The sequence below is a fragment of the Homo sapiens genome, chromosome 11 (genome assembly GCF_000001405.40).
Source record: "Homo sapiens chromosome 11, GRCh38.p14 Primary Assembly".
Lineage (NCBI taxonomy): Eukaryota > Metazoa > Chordata > Mammalia > Primates > Hominidae > Homo > Homo sapiens.
The window spans coordinates 48,009,190-48,026,305 of record NC_000011.10 but is presented as its reverse complement, the minus strand read 5'-3'; the positions used below and the strand labels follow the sequence as shown (position 1 = coordinate 48,026,305).

Below are 17,116 nucleotides of genomic sequence, written 5' to 3'. Positions count from 1 at the left end.
GGCTTACCAAAGACCTTAAGCACCTTCCTCATGAGAATCAGTTTTCCATACTCTACCATCAAGTGTCTAAGTCACTAAGCCTCTGTTGACTGTTGCCCTGAGCCAAATGCTGTGGACACAGTAAGTAAGACTCGAACCTTCCACAATGACCTCATCATCTACCAAGGAAGACAGACCTTTCTCAACAGCTATGTCATAAGGGCTGTGGTGGAGATGCAGGGTGAGTGCTATAGAAGCTGAAAGATGTGATTTATTCCAAATTTACAGAGTCGGGAGGGTAGCCGACTTCAGGGAGAATGTGCCTTTTGTCCAGAGCCTTTTGAAGGATGAGTGGGGAGTGGGATTTCCATAATTGGGGGGATGAGCATTCCAGGAAGAGGAGCAGCATGAGCAAATCAGAGAGGGAAGAAAGTGCAGCATGTCTTGGGAACACCCGGCTGTCTGAGGCAGATGCAGCCTGGGCAGTCTGGAGGGATTCAGGGGGAGGGAACACTGGACTGCTAAGCTGAGGCCACACATAGGAGCTGACGCGCCATTTAGAGCGCCTAAAGGGCACTTGTAAGGAAGGTATGGAAGACCTTGAATGCCAGACAGGGAAATTTGGACTTAAGCTGTAGGGAGCAGTGGAGAGTCCTTGGAGGTGCAGGAAGGGAAGGAGACAAGGAACAGAAGGCTTTCTGGTGGGCAAAGAACTTGACCTTCGCCTCCTTGATACCAACTTTTGGCACCTGCTCTGCCTGCTCTGCATGTCATGTTCATTTCTGTGGCAATTCCGGTATCTGACCATCTGGATGGTGACTAACACCCACCTATTCTGACCCTATGGCAGGTGTTATGTCCCCTGGTGGCCTCCGGCATACACCAGCCCTGCCTACTGCTCAGAGGCCAGCAGGCATGATTTTATAGTTGAATTGGTTGCCAACTTTTAAAAATTAGGGGACATCACTTAACCTGGGTTTTCTGGGGCTGTACTTTCACATCGCAAGAAGCCGACTGGCAGCTGCTCCCTTTGGGTAGAACATGTAACCTCCAGTTTCCAATGGGGGCACCTCTTTTTAATCTCTAGGACTGAGAATAAACAGCAACTGCCCATTTATCATTTCACCAGGCTGCCCGAAAGGCCTCTGAGTTTGCAAGCCACAGCCACATTTAGCTTAGATGTATGCCCCCCCTAGATTCCAGGTCCCTCCAGGCCCAGGTGCTAACCCCTTTCCCAGATCCCATAGCCTGCCCACAAGATCCAGCACCCCACTTATTCCCATATACTCTCAGGCCTGCCAGATGGCACTGCTGAAAGAAATGAGAAGGCCCCTTAGGGGATTAGGCAGCAAGCCTAGAAGAAATTTAATATACCTTTACTTTCCCTTCTATCACCCGAGAGCTCTGTAAACGCGACTGTTCCTGATTCCCTACTGTGTGGCAGGCCTTCTAAGCACAGCTCAAGAAATGCAGCTGAATGAGACAGGATCCCTGCCTTTGCTAGGCCTGGGGAGCTGGAAAAACTCCAGGTAGCCCTGGCGCAGATGCCACTCAGAATGAATGAAATGACAACACAGCTCATGCGTGAAACTCAGCAATCCACATACATTCTACAACCAAATGTTCAACACTCTCCAGCTAGTCAATGAGGCAGCAGGCACAGAGTTTCAAAACAGGGCTGATGTACAGTGCCTGACACTCATTCCCATTAGCAACGGCTGCTTGGGACAGATGCAAGGAAACTGACTCCACTACTTTGATCGTAGAAACAGTGAGAGAGATAGAAAAGAAAAGGTTGATCAGGGTAGAAAAATAGAAAAGAAATATAAGACCAGGCACAGTGGCTCACGCCTGTAATCCCAGCACTTTGGAAGGGCAAGGCAGGTGGATCACTTGAGGTCAGGAGTTCGAGACCAGCCCGACCAATATGGTGAAACCCTGCCTGTAGTAAAAATACAAAAATTAGCCGGCTGTGGTGGCATGCGTCTGTAGTCCCAGCTACTCGGGAGGCTGAGACAGGAGAATTCCTTGAACACAGGAGGCGGAGGTTGAAATAAGCAAAGATCACGCCATTGCACTCCAGCCTGGTCGTCAGAGTGAGACTCCATCTCAAAACAAAAAGAAAGAAAGAAAAAAAATGTAAGTGTGGTGCCTGTCTTCAATGAGCAAACAGTCTATTTGGGGAGCAGAACATGGAACCTTAGAGATTAATGAAGCCACTGACTGTAAGTGTGGGAGGAATGTGAATACAGGTGGGGGTCCAGGTGGGGGGCCTGCTGGATAAGGGGTGCTAACACTAGGTTTTCCTTTTTTTATATATATTTTTATTTTTTCACTTCCATCTCCTTTTCCTGATAAGCGTGGGGTTTTCCAAGAGGATTTTTGGATGGTGAGGTAGCCTAGGATGGCACACATAATCAAAATTCTGGTTTTGACCAAAAAAGTTGTGGATCTAATAAAAACTGGAATTGAAGAAATGATAAGAGATATTAAATTCCAATTTATTTATTTATTTATTTATTTATTTATTTATTTATTTATTTTTGAGTCCGAGTCTCACTCTGTCGCCTAGGCTGGAGTACAATGGTGTGATCTCGGCTCACTGCAATCTTTGCCTTCCAGGTTCAAGTGATTCTCCTACCTCAGCCTCACAAGTAGCTGGGACTACAGGCGCGCACCACCACACCCAGCTAATTTTTGTATTTTTAGTAGAGACGGGGTTTCACCATATTGGCTAGGGTGGTCTCGAACTCCTGACCTCACGATTGGCCTGCCTTGGCCTCCCAAAGTGCTGGGATTACAGGCATGAGCCACCGCACCCGGCCGGTAAATTCCCACTTTAATAAGAATGAAGTTCTAAAACCCAAAGAAAACTCTGATTCAGAAAGCCAAAGATTCATCCTGAGAATGGTTTTTCTACCTGGCAAGGCAGCTCCTCATCTCTAAGTGATCATACAAATGAATGAAGGGGCGTGCATGTCAGGGAAACTCATCGTGATTATTAGAATGGAAAGGAAAAACAAGACAAGAGGAGGAAGAGGTAGCAAGAATATGAACCACTGGCAGGCACCCTCTGGTTTAAGTTCTGGCAAACCTAACAGCTGTTTTGTTCAGGCTGCAGAGACTTCCAGCAAACTAAATTTCTACATCCTTAAGACACTCATTTTTCTCCTTGTTTTCTTACTCTTACTCTCTCGTCTACACTCTGGTTGCCTTATCCAAATAAGGATCTTGACACTTTATAACACGAAGCCATTTGTACCTCCCTAATAAGTAAATCAGCCCATACCATTTGGACAAAATTGTAACGGCTTTTACCCACCGCCCTATCCCACCCTATATTGAGTCCCATCCTGCACCGTGTGACTTGAGCCTTCAAATCCTTCTCCCCAGGCCCCACCAGGCCTATCCCCACCAGCTTCCCCTCAGCTCACCTACTTCCTCCTGCATCTTCCCAGAAAGAGTCCTTGGGTCATCTCATTCAGCCACTTCCACACTTCTTTGTTTATCAGAAACACACACACCGGCAAGAGAACCCTTTCTTCCCACAAACCAAAATCCAAAAATGAAATGAACCCACGCTGCTCTGGCTGAAGCAAGGATGGAGGTCCAGAAGCCTCTTTCACTTGGTCTTGGCACTACCCCCACATCCACCCCTTACCACAGTCTAAGAAAAGCACTGTGCAAGTCAAACTTCTTCATTTTACAGGTGTGAAATCAGCACCCCAGGGGAAAGGGTCTGGCCCAAGGACATACAGTGTTAGAAACAGGCCAGAAGCCAGGTTTCCAAACTCACCAGACCAGGACTCTTCTCATGGCCCCACGCTGCATCTTCATCATCTTAATTTTTTTTTTTTTTCTTGAGATGGAGTTTTGCTCGTGTTACTCAGGCTGGAATGCAATGGCACGATCTCGGCTCGCTGCAACCTCTGCCTCCCAGGTTCAAGCGATTCTCCTGCCTCAGCCTCCTGAGTAACTGGGATTACAGGCATGCACCACCAGGCCTGGCTAATTTTGTATTTTTAGTAGAGACGGGGTTTCTCCATGTTGGCCAGGCTGGTCTCGAACTCCTGACCTCAGGTGATCTGCCTGCCTCGGCCTCCCAAAGTGCTAGGATTTACAGGCATGAGCCACCGCGCCCGGACTTCATCATCTTATATACAACCAACACTTACATAAAATTTACCATGGGCCTGAGGCACCCCTCTTCGTAGACTAACACATTTAATTCCCACAATAATGTAATGACACAGGTTCTATTATTATCTCCATTTTACAGAGTAGGAAATTGAGGCACGGAGATTAAGTAACTTGACCAAGGTCACCCAACTGGTAAGCAGCAGAGCAGGGGTTTGAACTCAGGCAGCCAGGCTCCATGCCCATGTTTCTTAAAGAGTTTGCCAGAAGGAATCACTTGCTGCCTTAGGTCAGGAATGGCAATACCATATTACTAACCATCTGACAAGTGAAATAATGAAGTATATCATCCAGAGTTTCCCTTAAAAGGCAAAGCAAAGTCCAATAAAAATGAAAAAACAAAACAAAACAAAACAAAACCCACAGACAATTGCACTGGAGATGACAATGAAAGGCTCAAAGCGCTAGACTCATATTAAAGCATCTTTGTCAGATTTCTTTCTCAGGTGCTGCATGCTTGGGGGAGGAGGGGCAGGGTGCAGTGCTCCTTAATCTACACAATGGCTGAGGGGCAGGGTGCCGTGCTGGTTAATCTACACAATGGCTGAAATTTTACAACCCATTCTCAATGCATCTGTCCTTTGGACACACCCATTTTTGGCTTCCTTTCCAACCCTGATGCCCCAAAACCTGGGGCTTCCATAACATCTATTAGAAATGGCCTGCGTATAAACCTTAACCTCTTTTTTTATTTATTTTATTTTATTTTATTTATTTATTTATTTATTTATTTATTTATTTATTTATTTATTTTAGGGACGGAGTCTTGCTCTTGCCGCCCAGGCTGGAGTGCAATGGCGTGATCTTGGCTCACTGCAACCTCCGCCTCCTGGGTTCAAGCGATTCTCCTGCCTCAGCCTCCCCAGTAGCTGGGATTACAGGCACATGCCAACACGCCCGGCTAATTTTTGTATTTTTAGTAGAGACAGGGTTTCACCATGTTGGACAGGCTGGTCTCAAACTCCTGACCTCAGGTGATCCACCCATCTCTGCCTCCCAAAGTGCTGAGATTACAGGCGTGAGCCACCATGCCCAGCAGCTTAACCTTTTGTTAAGGGTTCTGGGCTGGGCTGTGGCCAGTCTACTCTCCTACCACAGAAGAGTAAAATGCCCTGCATTCTCTTAAAAAAGTAAGAAAAATAAAAATAAATCACTGGTAGCCAGCCTGCCCTTTTGGGGATCTTTCTCTATCTCCATCTGAGAATCTCTTTCTTCACCCAACTCTGACACATGCCCCTCAAAATAAAGTCAGATACTCTGAGGTGGACTGTCCAAATCCCTTGCTGCTTTTTGGTTTCATTCACTTGCCCACGGGCTGTTCTTAGTGCATTTGCCCATCCAAACGTGGGAGGGGCAGGAGGAAGAGTAGGGACATCCAGCATTGGGACCCAACTCAGTCCGTGATACTTCCAGAAGCTCCATGCTGGAAGCTGGCAACTGTGGAATCGACAGGCAGCTTCGCTTCAGAGGGTTTTGAGACCAGTACCTGCTCAGCTGCTAACCCACCTAGGGTAACTGAGCCATGTCCGGCTGCAGTCTGAGCCTTCACTCTGCCCCCGGACTGCACTGCGTTCATTTACGAGATCTCCAAATGTGAGTTTAATGGAGGCAGATGTACAAGGGTTCTCACAAGCCCAGGGAACTCAACTTCTAGAAGGAAACGGGGCCACACCAAACAAGATGATGGGGCAATCAAGAGATACTCCCATAACAGCAAGAAACAAAGAGCATTCACGCCTCCTATGCCAACGCCCTCCACCACCAACGCCAAAAATTTCCGTATTTCATAACACCAGCTGAGATAACTGACTCAAATCTGTCCACTTCCACATTTGCATACTGGGTTCTGACATTTGCCTACCACTGAACAGTCACCAAGTAAGACGCAAGGTGGAGACGTACCCACAAAGCAATATTTAATGTCTTTGGATCGCCACTAGCTAAAACCTCCTGAAGTTTCACCAAACTCAGCTCTGTAAAACAAAAGAAAAAGAACAACACTATAAATTACAGCCTCGCCAGGATCTCGGGACATGCCTATACTTTGTATTTTATAAGTTCCGTATAAATACTGGAACAGCATAGAAACAGGGATCTCAGAAATAACGCCATTTTGAAGGCCACAGGACGAAACCCAACTATTCATTTCATTTTATTCTACTTCTTATCTCAAATACACAGTTCCTTTTCCTTTAACGAAAATATCGCTCTTTTTAAACAATATGTGATGCAAAGCAAATATAACAGGGTACCAACACAAATCTTTCCTGCCAAATTTATGGTTCCTCGCCTGTCCCCAGTTGCACCCAGAACCACTACCCCAGCCTATCGCTGTGTACACAACACGGACTAGGAATTCTAAAGAACTGCCTTAATCTCTCAGCTGTGTGCAGTGCGATAGGGTACGCTTGGATGCCAGTTTTTAAAAAGCAAATCAACTTTCCTCAAATTATTAAGATAAATAATTAGAAGGGGAAAGCTGCCGGCATTCAGTACAATAGGGGGGAAACCAAAACACTGAATGTTCCTGAGTCTCACACAGGGTGATACCTTGGAACAGTTAACACAGTACCCTGGCAAAATGTCCACCACATTTTTTCACCCCTTAACCTGAGTCATTATATTGTACTTTCTAGACGTGAGCAAATGTGATTGCTGAACAGGCAACACAGGGACTAGGGCCCCTTCCTGGAGGTTTCTCAGTGCACTCTAACACAATTAACTCCTCTCAGGCTCAGAGAAAGGAGGTGGGGTTCGGGGGAAGGTGGGGTGGAGGGGCAGATTCTAGTGAAGTCAGAGGCCTGGAGAGGCTGTCGCAGTGGGGCCAGGTGGAAGACAGGGAACCAGAAGGGCGGGATGCTTCCTCGTCACTGAAAATCCTCTTCTGTTGTTATAAAGGCCAAGTGCCCGCCCAGCCCCTGCCACATCCACGTTCCTAAACAGAGAGAGGGCCTTCCACAGGCAGGAAAAGGGCACAGAGACCGGGAGGCAGCAACTTAAACTCTTGGCAGCCTGGAAGGGCAGGACCCACGGGCTCACTCCACTTACCCCAGCCTTTCCACAGGCCCTCCTGAGAGGGGTTCTCCATCCCCCAAGACACACACACACAACACACACACGCACGTACACGCACACATACACAAGAAGAAAGCGTGGAGAGAGGGTAACTCGACTCCCCTGCCCCCCTCCCCACCAGCCTGCAGAGGCGAGGGGTCGGGGAGAAGGAGGGCCTCTGCTCTATCCTCCCAGGTATCTAACCCTCCCTGGGCAGCTGTCAGCTTCCATTTGCATGAATGAAAACTGTGGTCAACTGGTACCTGGGAGAGAACAAAGCAGGAAATAAAAGGGGCTGTCACTTACTCAAATCCAAAGCTCATCAAGTCTAACTAAAGGGAGTGCCACATTCCGCACCCCCAGTTCGGAGGGAAGGATTTGCTGGCTGGGCCCCGACGCCCCTCCCCCTCGCTGACACTGACAAAGGATCTGGTTCTCACTGAAACTGCTTCTCTTGTGACTGTTTCTAGTCTCCAAAAAGACTGTATTTATATTTTTAATTAGCTGCTTTTTACAGCAATTTTTTAAGTATTATGATGACTTACATGTGGTAAGAAAAAAAGAGCTAATCAAACAATGAAAAGCCTCCCCTCAAACCTCGGTCTCCTGGAATCCCAGTCTCTCAGCCATTCCAGGGTCTTCACTGTGGCCCGGGGCTTCACACCACTCACAGCCATCCACTGCCCCCAGCCCCCAACTTCAGCAGAGCTGGCATGCTCTCATCTGCATTCAGCAGCATCCCGGGTGTGTAGCTTGTGCTTGGCACTGTGCTAAGGCTTTGCAAAATGGACTCTCCACAAATTGGTTGAAAGAAAAAAAAAAGAAGTCATGTTGAACAGTTTCCAGAATGTAAAGGGTTACAAAATCCTTTGCATACACCCAGAATTAAGGAAAAAAAAAAAAACAGGAAGGAAATATACTAAAACATTAAATGATAAAGCTACTTAGAAGGATTATGGATGACTTTTAGTTTCAATTTTATACTTTTCCTCTATTTTCCAAGTTTCACATAAATAAGCATAAAGTATTTTTATCATCAGAAATGAATCCATTCACACATGCATACACATTCATCTCCCAACCCAGCCTGGCAGAGCCATCATTTTTTGTGCATTTTGTTTTTGCAGGAACTAATTTACATTTTTAAGTGCTTTACAGCTGATAAAGTGTTTTGAAAACAGAAAAACTAACCAGGAGTCAATGATGGTCCTGAGACTAATACTGGTGTCACTGCCCAAAGCTCTATGAGAAACTGTGACACTCTAAACTGTCCCTCACCCTTATCTCTGGTCCATCACCCACCAGGCTCTCTGCAGCCAGTGGGCCCTTGCTCTCTGCAAGGTGCTTTCCCTGTCCTACACAGAGCACTTCCACAAACACGGTGCATGCAGGTAGAAGAGCAGAGAGCATTCCCCTCACAGAAGAGGATGCTGAGGTCAGGTGTGTGGCTTGTTCAGTGTGGCTAGCCCTCAGATGCTACTACTCTCAGGTGGGACATAAGCCAGTGCTACCTAGCAGGGGTGAGGTCACCATTCCAACTAATTTACATCTACACTGCATTTTGTGGAATGCCATGTCACTCTTATAACACAGACATTTTTATAGCAATGTATAAGTATCTAGGCATCTCTTATTTTCTTTAATCCCATGAGGCACATTATTATATCATCATCTTACAGGTGAGAAACTAAACCTCAGAGACAAACTCAGTGTGCCAGGCTTGTTATCCAGCCAAGCCCCAGCTTCTATTGCCTCTCCAGGGCCAACCCCTACCCACACCCAACTTCCTGCCCCCAGATGGCCCCTACCTACCAGAATGATGTGCACAGATGTCATCAACCAAACCAAAAAGGTCCTAGACTTCTGCTGTTTCCAATCTGATAGCAGTGATACCACAGTAGGGTCACCTACTTGGGATCAAATCTGGACTCCACTATGTAACATCTCTACAACCTTAAGCAAATTACATAAACTTTTTTGAACCCCCTGTTTCCACTTGTAAAAATGGGAAAATACAGCCAGGTGAGGTAACTCACACCTGTGATCCTGGCACTTTGGGGAACCGAGGTGGGAGGATTGCTTGAGCCCAGGAGCTCAAGACCTGGGCCACAACATGAGACCCTGTCTCTACAAAAAAAAAATTAAAAATAAACAAAAATAAATGGGAAAATAATAGACGGTCCCTGCTCATCTGCTTGTTTTCTGCATTCATTAAGATAATGTATGTAAAGTTTACCATGGTGACTATTATAGGAGGCAGTGTTCCTTAAATGTTCACTATTATTACTATTAATACCATCACCACCATCATTAGCACAATGCAGACAGAACCCAGCACACAGGCACATGTGGTTAATGCCAGACAAAAGGCTTCCATGTTCATCTTCTCATTCAGTTTCTCATGACCATCCTGTGAGGCTGGCAGGGCAGAAATTAGGGCCCACATTTTAAAGATGAGGCGGCTGAGGCTCAGAAAAGTGACTTCCCCATATGCACATAGTAGTGGCCAGGACTCAAGTCCATGGCATCCAACTCCCAAATCCTAGGCTCTTCCTGCTTCCCATGCCACCTTTTCTCCCGCAGAAGGTACCGTGGGTTCACATTGGAACTGTCTGGCCTGAGAAATGCCAGCAAGCCAGAGTTTTTTGTTGGGTTGCAGACTCAGCCATCACCTGGTGGGTGAAGTCATTTCACCTCTGTAGGTCTCCGTTTCTTCATCAATACCACCCACTCATCCTCTCCTTTTCTACCCTGGGCTACTATGAGGATAACGAGTGGGAAGCAGCTGTGAAGAACATAACAGTGCTCATCTGGTCTGACCCCTGCTTGAAACCTGATGCCTCACAAGCAAGAAGCAGAGGTATGGGTTCTCTCCTGGGTGAGGCTGAACAGCCCTCACCAAGAAGGAATCCACAGTCCAGAGCCTTGCTTGAGCCACAGGTGACACTTAGGTCAATCCAAGCCCCTCAACACCTCCAATCCAGCCAGCCCAGCTTCCACTGGAACCCATAACACAATGGCTGCAAAAGCCAAACAGACCTGGCTCCCACTGCAAAGGAACCTTGCAGTGGATCCTAATCCAGAAAGGCACTGAGTATGTTGGAAAGAGGGTGGGGCCAGGAGAGCTGGCTTGGAGCCCGACTTCCCCACAGAGTAGCTGGGGGATCTTATGCAAGTCATCTCATCATTAGTATTATTTCTTTTTTTTTTTTTTTTTTTTTTGAGACAGAGTCTCACTCTGTTGCCCAGGCTGGAGTGCAGTGGCATGATCTTGGCTCACTGCAACCTCCGACCTCCACCAGGTTCAAGGGATTCTCCTGCCTCAGCCTCCCGAGTAGCTGGGATTACAGGTGCACGCTACCATACTCGGCTAATTTCACCATGCTGGCCACACTGGTCTTGAACTCCTGACCTCAAGTGATCCACCTGCCTCAGCCTCCCAAAGTGCTGGGATTACAGGCATAAACCACCACACCTGGCCCTCACCATTATTTTTAAAATTTAACTATACCCAGCTCCATCCCACCAAGTATATGTGGTGGTTTAGAATAATACAAATAACACAAAAGAATAAAACAAACAAGAGAACCAGGCAAGGCAAAAATGAGTATAGAGAAAATAATAAAGCGGGATGGAGGGCGGGAGGTTGGGGTAAGATCAGCACATAGAAATGCATGCCATATGGTCCCATCCTGCAGAAGTGTCAAGATGGGCCACAAATCTAGCTCTCAGGTGCTTAGTAACCAAAGCCAAAGGAAAACATGATGAGCCACACGCTTCTCGGTGCCCATAACACAGAAACAAACCAGTTGTTCCAGAGAAATACCTCTTTCCCGGCCTGATTCAGAGCCTCTTCTCCATCGGGCCTTCATAAACGGACACAGTGATACAGCAGCTAAGGCCTGCAGCATCCCCACCGCAGACTCCAATTTCTGTTGCAGAAATTCCTTATTTCACCACCTCCCCTTGCAATTTGATGACATAATCCAAAAACGACAATGCAGCTGCCAAAGTGGCCAAGTCTCTTGACCCCTAGAGCTCAGTTACCTAATCTTTAAAATGGTCCATCTGGCCTGGGACAGTGGCTCACACCTGTAATCCCACCACTTTGGGAGGCCAAGGCAGGCAGATCACCTGAGGTCAGGAGCTCGAGACCAGCCTAGCCAACATGGTGAAACCCCATTTGTACTAAAAACTACAAAAAAATTAGCCGGGCATGGTGGCGCATGCCTGTAATCCCAGCTACTCGAGAGGCTGAGGCAGGAGAATCGCTTGAACCTGGTGGAGGCTGGAGGTTGCAGTGAGCCGAGATTGCGCCACTGTACTCCAGCCTGGGTAACAAGAGTGAAACACTGTCATAAAATAAAATAAAATAAAATAGTCCATCTACCTCACCAGGCTGTTGTGAGGGGTAAAGCAGATAATGTGTGATAACTCACATGCCTAATACACAGTAGGTGCTCCATAAAAATGAGTTCATCACTTCTGCTAGAATGGAAGTTCTTGAAAGCGGGATCTTGGTTGGAGGTGGTCACTGCTGTATCCCAAGCACCTGGAGCAGTCACTAGCACATAACAGATGCTCAACAAATATTTTTTGAATAAATGAATTTCCTACAGCAGGTTCCTAAAAACATTAGTCTCATGAGATGCTTCTAAAAAGAGACAGCTATAGAGTAAAACAAAAATCTAGGGAAAACAAGGGTTTTATATCCCCTTCCCTCTTAAAGAGTTACCAACAGATTTAAGTTTCTTCTAAGTCCTGCAAGAAAGACATCTGTTTGATTTTGTTCAGGCCAGAGTTCTCCAAACTTGCTTAACCACAATACCTCCCCTTTTCCTCACACAGAAGGAAGGATAGACCCACATTCATTCTCATGATCCCAGGGGGTTCTAAATGATCCTAACAAGGAAAGGGGCCACTACCCCATAGAGAGATAGTCCCAAAACAGCAAAGGAACGAAGAGCATCCACACTCTTCACGCCAATACCCTCCATCACCACCACCTACTAACTCTGGAACACATCATGTTTCTAAAAATCAAACAGATCCTTCAGACCTAAACAGCTGGCTTCACCCAAACAGATGGACACTCTGGTTGCCCCTGCACATTCCAGAACCCACCTGCTCTGCCCAACTTCAGCAAAGCCAACCCCCAGGGCCACATGAATACCCAAGTAAAGGCCAGATCCCAGAGGCTGGGGCCAGCGGAAGGTCTTCATCACCACTGGGAGGGCAGCACTTTCTTTGAAGTGGGTAGGGGAGGAGGGATCTGGGTGCATGTCCTGAGTCCCCAGGTGGCCGCCCACAGGGTGCATCACATGGTTCTGCTTGGCTCACTAAGCCAAGAGGCTCCTGGCAACAGCTCCCTCACTGTGCTCACTGCTTACTTACCCACACAGCCGTGAGCTGCCCCACTGCCCCGCCTCTGCAGGTTGATGCCACCACCCCAACTCCCAGAGAGCCAGCAAGCAGGCTGGCAGTCAGGCCACCCAAATGACAACCACCCATTCCCCCATGAGAAGCAAGATTCTCCTGAGCATACCACAGAGCTTCCCTAGGCAGGAAATGATTAACAAATGTTTACTGAGCACTTCCGGGAGGCCAGGCCTCATCTCCCCCACTGGCCTTCAGATCCCGAGGACCATTCAGTCATCTGAGTCTACCTAGTACCGGCACTGGCTCCTGCAGGAACTGGGTTCTGATAGACCACTGGCCTTGACCTCTGACCCCTGTATGCTGCTGCGCTCCAAGCCTGTGGTCCATACCTGGTATGGCATCTACACAGCCACCAGATTCATGATCTTCCTAGTTCTAAATGCCCATTCCATGTGTTTGAAAGAAAATAAGGGGCCTGGGGGTGAACATGAGCCCAAATGGAATTTAACATCACCTGTCTGTTACCCTCATGTTACCCTCAGTCCCGTGGGGCTTGACATCTTGAATGGAACCTTTTTTTTTTTTTTTTTTTTGACACAGAGTCTCACTCTGTTGCCCAGGCTGGAGTGCAGTGGCACAATCTCAGCCCACTGCAACTTCCCCCACCCGGTTCAAGAAATTCTCCTGTCTCCACCTCCCAAGTAGCTACGATTACAGGCACACACCACCACACCCGGTTAATTTTTGTATTTTTAGTAGAGATGGGGTTTCACGATGTTGGCCAGGTTGGTCTCAAGCTCCTGACCTCAGGTGATCCACCTGCCTCAGCCTCCCAAAGTGCTGGGATTACAGGCATGAGCTACCGTGCCTAACCTTGAACTGTATACTTTTTAAATGGGTGAATTTTACTGTATGTGAATTATATCTCAGTAAAGCTAGTATTTTTTTAATTGCCATCAAAAATATGCAAATTTTAGTGCCTGGGCTAAGTGCCAGGATATGAAGATGGATGAGAGCTCTGAAACCTCTCTCAAGGGGCTCACCCTGGAGGACTCTTCTCCCAAGGCCCCTCCAGAAGCATCTTTCCCTTCCCAGCTCCACCAGTCCGCCAGGGTTGCTCTTGCCTCCTGGAACATCATTCTTCAGAGGTTACACTTGCTGTGTAAAAGACAGAGTAGGTACCCCTCTCCTCCCCGACTAGATCACGAGTTCCTGGACTCTGGGGACACTGCCCTCCATATTTACTCCCTTGGTGCTTAGCATAGGGCTTGGCACAGAGCAGGTGCTCAGGGAAATCCTGCTGAACGAACAGGCATGGCGGGCAGCACTTTGGGTGACTGGAATATGGTATAAGACCTTCTGACAAGGCCTCCCAAATGCCAACCTTGAAAACATGACCTTGGGGCTGTGGCTCAATTCAATGAGCACCACTTAGAGGGAGGATGTGGGTCAAAACTAGCTGATCTGCAAGGCTGCCACTAGCCAAGCACTCACAAAAAAAGAAATGAGAAGAAAACTGGGACAGTGACTAGCATCGCACTCACCCCAGAACACCCACTTCACAGGTCCCCCACACCATGCCCCCAAGTGTGAACTCACAGGACTCCCCACAAGAAGCCATCCGAACTACAAAATACGCATAAATGGAAACCACCGTACTCTGTCACTTCAACAGAGCAGATCTAAATCTTCCTTCAGTGCTCTCTCCTTAAGCAAGTATTTTTAAAAACTGAGGCGGGGCACAGTGGCTCACACCTATAATGTCAGCACTTTGGGAGGCCAAGACAGGAGGATCACCTGAGCCCAGGAGTTCACGATCAGCCTGGGCGACCTGGTAAGACCTCATTTCTACAAAAAAATGTTTTTAATTAGCCAGGTGTGGTGACATGTGCCTGTGGTCCCAGATACTTGGAAGGCTGAGGTGGGAGGATCACTTAAAGCCAGGGAGTTTGAGGCTGCAGTAAGTGAGGTGTGTTTGTGCTACTGCACTCCAGCCTGGGCAACAGAGCAAGACTCTGCCCCAAAAAGAAAAAGAAAAAAGGGTGCCAGACACTTAGTGAGCATCATATGTGTGAATTTTAAAAGGAGGAAGAGGAGGCAGCATTCTCCTTCAAACAGGGCAGGTTCTCATGGTCTGCCAGAGTACCCCCAACTCTCTACTGCCTTATTAACACCAATCACATAAGACTGGCCCATCATATTCTGAGCTGTACTTCTGTTTAATGAGAATAAGGCAAGAGAAAACACTTGGGACACTCTGAGCCCCTGATCGGCATTACTTTCTTAAGTGACTCCACTCAAGAGTACCCGTCTAGTAAGTGGTAAGTCCAGAAACAGAACCCAGGCCACCTCCTGCCTCCAAGTCCAGCTCCTATCTTACCATCAGCACAACACAAGAGGCCTTGTGCACATACATTATTGCTGCACAGGCTTGATCTGGATGGATCTCTCTTACAAACAGGCATACACAGCCCCAAGCTATGAAAGGTAGCAAAACTAATCAAGTCTTATAGATTAAATGTCTTACAAAGCATGGTGACTCCCGCATGACAATGAAAGCTGAAAGGCAGATTGTGCCAATGTTATCTCTGCCTTTGCCCAGGGGCCCTGGTCCCTGAATAGGCAGTAGGGACCACCACTGACCTCTGTCCTGCCCACCTCCTAGAACAGTGCACCCACCCTGCTCACCAAACCCCACTCTTTATTTAAAGACCCAACTTGCTGGGAGGGACAGTGCACCTGTAATCCCAGCTACTCAATTGGCTGAAGCGGAAGGATGACTTGGGCTCAGGAATTCAAGTCCAGCCTGAGCCACACAGAAAAACCCTATCTCCAAAATAATAATAATAATAATAATAATAGGCCAGGCATGGTGGCTCACACCTATATTTCCAGCACTTTAGGAGGCCAAGGCAGGTGGATCACCTGAGGTCAGGAGTTCGAGACCAGCCTGGCCAACATGATGAAACCTCATCTCTACTAAAAATACAAAAATTACCTGGGCGTGGTGGCATGCCTGTAATCCCAGCTACTCAAGAAGCTAAGACAGGAGAATCACTTGAACCCAGGAGGCGGAGGTTGCAGTGCGCCAAGATCACGCCACTGCACTCCCAGACTGGGTGACAGAGTGAGACTCCGTCTCAAAAAATAATAATAATAATAAAAGCCTAACTCAAGTCCCATGTCTTCAATTCATTCAACAAATTACTGAGCACCTAATGGGCCGCGCAGTGGTTCACCCTGTAATCCCAGCACTTTGGGAGGCTGAGACGGGCGGATCACTTGAGGTCAGGAGTTTGAGACCAGCCTGGCCAACATGGCGAAACCCTATCTCTACTAAAAATATAAAAAATAAGCCGGGCGTGGTGGCACCCGCCTGTAATCCCAGCTACTCAGGAGGCTGAGGCAGGAGGACTGCTTGAAGCTGGGAGTGGGAGGTTGCAGTGAGCCGTGATAACGCCACTCTACTCCAGCCTGGGCGACAGAGCTAGACTCTGTCTCAAAAAAAATAAATAAATAAATAAATTACTGAGCACCTACTGGGTTACCAGGCCCTGTGGCACGATGTCCTTGGAGAACCCCGTCTATTTAGGGAGACAGAGGTACAAGAGTTACTCCATCACATGCAAGGACCTAGTGGCAAGAAAGCGTGTGGCACACTGGAGAGACTGTAAGAAATTTGGGATGGGGAGTCCCCAGAGTATGTATGTCCAGAAACGCTGCACTACATGCCAACCCAAATAACTCAACAGTATCCAACAGGCATGGGGGGCCTTGATGGCTTAGAGCAGTAGATAACTTGTTTGGTCTGATCAGAGCCACGGCACATGAAGCCCTTTCTCTGAAAGCCCAGATAGCTCATTTAATTCTCACAACAACCCAAAGAGATAAGGTACTAGTCCCACTTAACAGCTGAGAAGCCTGAACTGGGAAAGATCCAGTGACTTGCCCAGGGGCACATAGCAGTTACGTGGCAGAGCCCAGACTTGGCCCAGGTCTGCCTAAGTTGCTTTTTAAGCACCACATTATAGTGCACCACATATCCATATAAAGCACGGCTTCAAGTCTAACGTTTGTTTCTTTAACCAATATTTTTTTTTTGAGACAGAGTCTCGCTCTATTGCCCAGGCTGGAGTGCAGTGGCACAATCTCGGCTCGCTACACCCTCCGCCTCCCAGGTTCAAGTGATCCTTCTGCCTCAGACCCCTGAGTAGCTGGGATTACAGGCATGAGCCACCATACCCAGCTAGTTTTTGTATTTTTAGTAGAGATGGGGTCTCGCCATACTGGCCAGGATGGTCTCGAACTCCTGACCTCCAACGACCCACCTGCCTCGGCCTCCCAAAGTGCTAGGATTACAGTCGTGAGCCACTGCGCCCAGCCTGTTTGACCAAATTAGGTTTATACTTTACTTTGAAGCTCGCGTCTTTAAATTTCTTATAGCATAAACATCCTGCCATATCATGGAACATTTTTTCAGTGCGTTGGTAATGACTGCATAGTAGTC

General features: G+C 47.5%; 1 protein-coding gene across 4 annotated transcripts in view, besides 4 other annotated features; it reads right to left on the bottom strand.

Moving 5' to 3' along the window:
* The window catches only part of PTPRJ (protein tyrosine phosphatase receptor type J), a 190,281-nt gene that overhangs the window by 144,534 nt on the left and 28,631 nt on the right, over window positions 1-17,116 (bottom strand). The window lies entirely within an intron of this gene.
* Window positions 5,741-5,800: an enhancer, noted in NCBI's record as "active region_4713". NCBI's record gives its function as "activates an Ori minimal core promoter by ATAC-STARR-seq in GM12878 lymphoblastoid cells {active_cell/tissue: GM12878}" and the evidence as "EXISTENCE:reporter gene assay evidence [ECO:0000049][PMID:35858748]".
* Window positions 6,881-6,930: a silencer, noted in NCBI's record as "silent region_3341". NCBI's record gives its function as "represses an Ori minimal core promoter by ATAC-STARR-seq in GM12878 lymphoblastoid cells {active_cell/tissue: GM12878}" and the evidence as "EXISTENCE:reporter gene assay evidence [ECO:0000049][PMID:35858748]".
* Window positions 12,275-12,484: an enhancer, noted in NCBI's record as "active region_4712". NCBI's record gives its function as "activates an Ori minimal core promoter by ATAC-STARR-seq in GM12878 lymphoblastoid cells {active_cell/tissue: GM12878}" and the evidence as "EXISTENCE:reporter gene assay evidence [ECO:0000049][PMID:35858748]".
* Window positions 14,302-14,351: an enhancer, noted in NCBI's record as "active region_4711". NCBI's record gives its function as "activates an Ori minimal core promoter by ATAC-STARR-seq in GM12878 lymphoblastoid cells {active_cell/tissue: GM12878}" and the evidence as "EXISTENCE:reporter gene assay evidence [ECO:0000049][PMID:35858748]".